Here is a 5,990-nt window from a genome sequence, read left to right as displayed (position 1 = left end):
ACTTCCCCTTTTACCTTCTCTGTCATGCTTTGACCCAACACAAAAACCCTCAACAGAAGACAAGCAGATACTGGCATGCTTCTCGTATAGCCTACAGAACCATGAGCTAAACCTCTTTTCTTGATAAATTACCCAGCTTCAGGTCTTCCTTTCCAGTAACATCCAATGGACTAAGACAGGCAGTGAAAGGGAGTTTCCTGGTACTTCTCAAATTCCTCTTCTATGCCACCAGCCCCATCTCTGCTCAGTGAAGACACTGAGCCCATCTTGGACAGGCACAGGCCATGTCACCATGACCCTATGCCACTCCTTCTGCTTGCCACACCTAAGTCACCCCCAAAAGTCATTCTCTCTTTTCAGGTCCCACATTACCTATGAATGGGTCCCACAACAGTGTATTGTTATCTTTCTAACTCAAGGAATATTATAGACCACATCTCCATTGAATGCAGAGAAACAGTTATTCAATTCAACACATAGTTATTGACCACCAGGCACTAAGTAAGACTGGATTGGAACAGGGTCAGGGAGTAAAAACCTTGAGGGCACAAGAGCCATCAAAGCAAGGAAAACACCTGATCAAGAAGGTCTGAGAAAGGGAACACAACACTGAGCCTCTTACACTGCATGAAGGCAGGGACTTGTGTATGTGTGTTTGCTGTTATACTCCCAATACCTGATACAGTGACTGGTACCTAGTAGACATTCACTTAATATTTTATAAATGAATGAATGAACAAGATACAACTCTTGTCCTACAGAAGTGTATATTCTAGTAAAGTAAAGACAAAGGCAGTGCTCCCATAGGGATAAGCAAAATGGGAGCAAAGGTACCAGATCCAGCTTGAGGTGGTTTGAGAGGGCGGGGGACTGCAAAATTTGGTCTCCCCAGTTTGCCATAGGCTGCAGGAAGACTGGGAGGATGATAAATGAGAAATCAATGGTTCTACCTCCTAGCCAAATGTGTTGAGCTGAGTCAAACTTTTTATTCTCAGTCAGTTTGCTGCTAGTATATATCTAAGACCTTAGTTTTTCTTCACGACTAGCTTTTAATGTCTGTTTCCATTTTATTAGATATCATGGAGACCAAATACAAATTTCAACAAATAATTTTAGCATTAACCTCCCTTTTTATCATGGATGTAGACATTGTCCTTTCTGGTCGAATATTACAGTGAGGCAGAGAAAGAAAAGAGAAAAAAAAGCAGTGTGGGTCCTTAGGAACAACAAAACCAGAGGTAGGGAGTCTGTGGGTTCCTGAGTTACTAGGAGGACCAAATTTCTGAAAACTGCTGAGTACTAAGAGGGAAACCTTCCCTTCAGAGAACAAAATAGAAAGAAAAAGTAAGGGTGTCCAATTCTTTCACCACATCTTTCTACTCTAAATATAAGTGAGAAAGCTGAAGGCCAGGCTCAGTTACTACCTGTGCTTCTACTTTAGGCTGTTATAAAATAACTTGTGTTCTACATTTAAAGTCACTTGGCTTGGAGCCTGAAAAGAAAAAAGATTATTTTTTGGCCAGCCACGGTGGCTCATACCTGTAATCCCAGCACTTTGACTTGAGGTCAGGAGTTTGAGACTGGCCTGCGCAACGCGGTGAAACACCATTATCTACTACACATTCAAAAATTAGCTGGGAGATGTGGCACGTGCCTATAGTCCCAGCTACTCCAGAGGCTGAGGCAGAAGAATCCCTTGAACGTGGGAGGCGAGGTTGCAGCGAGCCGAGATTGTACTGCTGCACTCCATCCTGGGCGACAGAGCGAGCCACCATCTTAAACAAAAAAAAAATAGGAAAGAAAATTATTGCCTAAAATGAAAGCAAATGATGCTGTTGAACATCACAAGTCCTTGTTCCCAAATAAACACAGAAAATGATTTTTTAAAGAGAGATTTTCAACCACAAGGGTAGTTCTTACTCTAAAATATATTGTTAGCTCCTACAGAATCCTGCAGGAGCAATGCACAGATGGTGTGTGATACTGAGATTTGTTAAGGGCTCTCTGTATGTTGATGATATTAGTTGATGCACATGATCAGTGTTGCTTAAACGGCAAATAATAGACGAGAAGAACATTTAGTGATAAAATAGAATGCCATTTGGGCTATTAATGTTTTCATTATGGAAAATTCAGGGTAGTATGTAAAGCTTTGGGTAAATATGTTTATCTCTGTTAACTGTATGGATGCTTTGTGACAAAGACTTGCTGAATAGAAATCAAGACTAGTGGTGGTGATACATTATGTATAACATTGGAGAGCTATGTCACAGGAACCTGAATTTCTTGGGTAACAAAACATTTAATATGGAAACTATGTATATAATTTATCAAGTCAACAGAAGAGGTTAAAACTGATGGATCATATACTGAAATAGAACTGTCTGAAGAATTCATCCTGATTTATTTTTCCAGTAGAAAGGCAAAATATTCATTTATTTAATTTGTTAATGTTTTACACTAGAATTATTCTAATTTAAACATAAGTTAATGCTGTTTCAAAAATTCTTACTGGGCATGTAACATTCATTCTTCTCATTCTTTCAGTTCAAGCAGCAATGTTTCTAATGAAAAAATTTCAAACTAAATGTCTAACAAAATGATTTTGTGTTTCTCTTTTCACATACTGAGGTAATCATGCAGGAAAAGCAAATAAATCATTTTCTTTGGGGTGAAAGCATTCATATTTGATAAGTGTTTTGAAAGTAAAATGAGATTTTACATAAACATTTTACATTTTTTATGGACTTATCTTTATTGGTATTCTTTTCAGGAAAGAATCATTACTAAAAGAAATATGCACATATAAAAATATGTATGACAAAGTACAGTTATGAATAATTTGTGCTAGAGAAATAAAGAAATCTTGTAGAGTATAAACTCGGAACTTAATGGAAGAAGAATATGAGAAAGAACCTAATGATAAAAATATTCCAGGAGAATAGTATTAAAGACAATAAAAACAAAAATGTTTTGTTTTATATGAAGATAGGAATGCTACCTGGAAATACAATCCAGAAGACATAAAAAAAGAGGAAACAACAAATTACTGAGAGAGAAAAACATAAAACAGAAAATATGTTAGTAAATCTCTGTTTTAAAAAATGTCATCTACATCTTAATGTGGCCCCTCTGGATGGCTGCCAAGTCAGAGTTAGACTAGAAATATGCTTAGGAGACCTAAGATAGAAACTTTGCTTCACATTCTTGCTCCACCCTGAAATTTTTTTTCCTACATTTAAAACATCACTTGGTAATTACTTCAGCATTTCTTATGTATGCAGGGGCACTAGGCTCTGGTGAAATCTTATAAAACTGTTTACAACATATTTTATAGTGGATAAAAAAAGCAAATGACAAACTACCCCCACCTCCACCCTACCTTTGGTTGCAGCTTTGTACCCTTCTGGCTAGAATTATATATGAAATAGTGAAACTCTATTTTAACGTAACTGTTACTGATAACAGGGGTAATAAATAACCACCATGAAGAATAACCAATGCCAGATTATACTTCACATTATTTTGTTGGGAGGGATCGGGGTTATATTCAGGGTATAATCTGGGCACATGTTAATATATTTTTATTGAGCATATACTCTGTGCCAGATACTAAGCTACTGTCTATGGAGGATGCAAAGACAAATGGAACACGATTGTGTCTTTAAGGGGCTTACAATCAAGTAGGGGTTATAAAACAATACATACAGCTATAATAAAGGTCTGCCCTGACAAGCAATGCTCTGATTGTCTAATATATTCATAGCCACCTGCTATGGTTTGACTGTGTTAATCAGGTTTGTGTGTCAGAAACTTAAGAGAGCATATCAAAAACCCACTCCTGAGATAATGGCATTCATTATCTCAGGAGTGGGTTTTTGATAAAAGTACGCATTTGACCCCTTTCTTCTATTGCTCTCTCTTGCTCTCTTACCTTTCTGTCTTCCACAATGAATGACACAGCAAGAAGGCCCTTGAAAGATGCTGGCACTGTGATAGTGGACTTCCCAGCCTTCAGGACTGTGAGAAATTCCTTGCTTTTTATTATAAAATTTCCAATCTGTGTTATTCTATTATCACAGCATAAAATGGAGTAAGATAAAAAAAAATTGCTATCAAGAAGTGGGGCTGTTGCCATAACAAATACCTGAAAATGTGGAAACAGTTTTGGAACTGGGTAATGGGTAGAGGCAGGAATAATTTAGAGGAGCAGGCTAGAAAAAGTCTAAATTTCTGTGAGTGGAGCATTAAGGACAATTTTGGTGAGGGCTCAAAAGACAAGAGAAGTTGTAGGGAAAGTCTGGAACTTCTTAGAGATTACTTAAGTGGCCATGATCAAAATGTTAGTGGAAATATGGACAGTAAAGGCCATTCTGATAAAGTCTCAGATGGAAATCAGAGATAACTTATTGAAAACTGGAATAAAGGCCATTTTTGTTATAAACTGGCAAAGAACTTGACCAAATTGTGTCCATGCTCCGGGGCTTTATGGAAGGTGGAATTTAAATGCAATGAGCTACCACATCTGGTGGAAAAAAATTTCTAAGCAAAATATTGAAGAAGCTGTGTGACTACTTTTAACAGCATACAGTAAGATGCAAAGGAAGACATGACTTAAAGACAGAATTTATAATTAAAAGAGATGCAGAATGAAAAGATTTTGAGTTTTAAGCCTGGCCATGTAGAGAATAAAAAAGTATATTCAGGAGAGCAAGTCGAGGGTGTGGCCAAGTGACTGTTTTCTAAGGAGATTAATACAGATAGAAGGGAGCCAGGTGCTATTCATCAAAACAATAGGAGACTGTGCCCAAAGGCATTTCAGAGCTCCTAGAGGCTGCCCCTCCTATCACAGGCCCAGATTCTAGAAGGGCAAAATGCTTTGAGGGAACAGGCCTAGGTCAGTTTTCATGGACCCACTGCCCAGAGCCACATTGAGTCTCTGTGGATTCTGGTGCAATGCTCCTTGGTCACCCCAGCCATGGCTCAAGTGGGTTCAGGTGCAACTTGACCTGCCACTGTGGAAAGTACAAACCAAAAACCTTCTGGTGTCCTTGTGATGCTAATTCTGCAGGCATGTAAAATGCAAAAGCTATGGGGGCATGCCTTACTTCACCTAGATTTTTTTTAAAAAGTTAGAATTATTTTGTGTATACATTATGCATCTTAATGCTTAGAAGATTGGATCTGAGATGAACAACCTGTTTCCAGAGCTGGTCTGGGGCATGAACTCTGCCCAATACAGGAGTTCAATGCTGATAAGTCACTCACTGGCTAGCTCATTCAAAATCACCCTCCAGAAATTTGAATGAGACATGCAGAGAGAGTAAATGTGTTGATAATGTTGCTGCAGTTGAGAAGCAGAGATGGAAGGTTGCTAAGGCATGGTGATAGTGGAAAACTAGAACAAGGGGTAACTGATGTTGTGTTGCTTGAGTTGAAGGGATGAGGATGGCCAGCTGAGGCAGATAGCTAGTGCTTCTGAGCCTGGAGGGTCCCAAGCACAGCTGTGTCCTGGGAAAGGTTCTTTTCTCAATTGATGTGGCTATTGAGACACTTTCTTGTTCTTTCTTTCACTTCCCTGCAGAGCTTCACAATATATTCCTATTGATTAGGAGTAGCCTGGGTGTGCCTGTTTGTGGCACACTGAAAAGACCCTTCCAAACACGACACACACATAAGAGGGTTAAATGCTTAGCAGCAGGATGCTTCTTACTCTTGCAGTTTCAGCACCAGACACTCAGAGGCCACACAGATGTTTGAATGAATAGGAGAAACAGATAAAGTATAATGAGAGTCAAGAAGAGTGGAAATTATGTCTTTTTTTTTTTCCTGTAAACTCTGCAAAGAAGTAGAAAATCATTTCTTACTGAGAGAATCAGAGATGAGGCTTTATGATGACAGTGTCATCTGAGAAGAGCCTTGAAGTAAGAGGGTGCCAAGTTGGGTGTGAAGGGGGGGATTGCTTCCCCCAGACATATTCTCTAAAAATG

General features: G+C 38.7%; 1 annotated feature.

Moving 5' to 3' along the window:
• Window positions 5,911-5,990: an enhancer, noted in NCBI's record as "active region_6116". NCBI's record gives its function as "activates an Ori minimal core promoter by ATAC-STARR-seq in GM12878 lymphoblastoid cells {active_cell/tissue: GM12878}" and the evidence as "EXISTENCE:reporter gene assay evidence [ECO:0000049][PMID:35858748]".

Source organism: Homo sapiens, chromosome 12 (genome assembly GCF_000001405.40).
Source record: "Homo sapiens chromosome 12, GRCh38.p14 Primary Assembly".
Taxonomy (NCBI): domain Eukaryota; kingdom Metazoa; phylum Chordata; class Mammalia; order Primates; family Hominidae; genus Homo; species Homo sapiens.
This window is presented reverse-complemented; position numbering and strand designations above follow the sequence as displayed.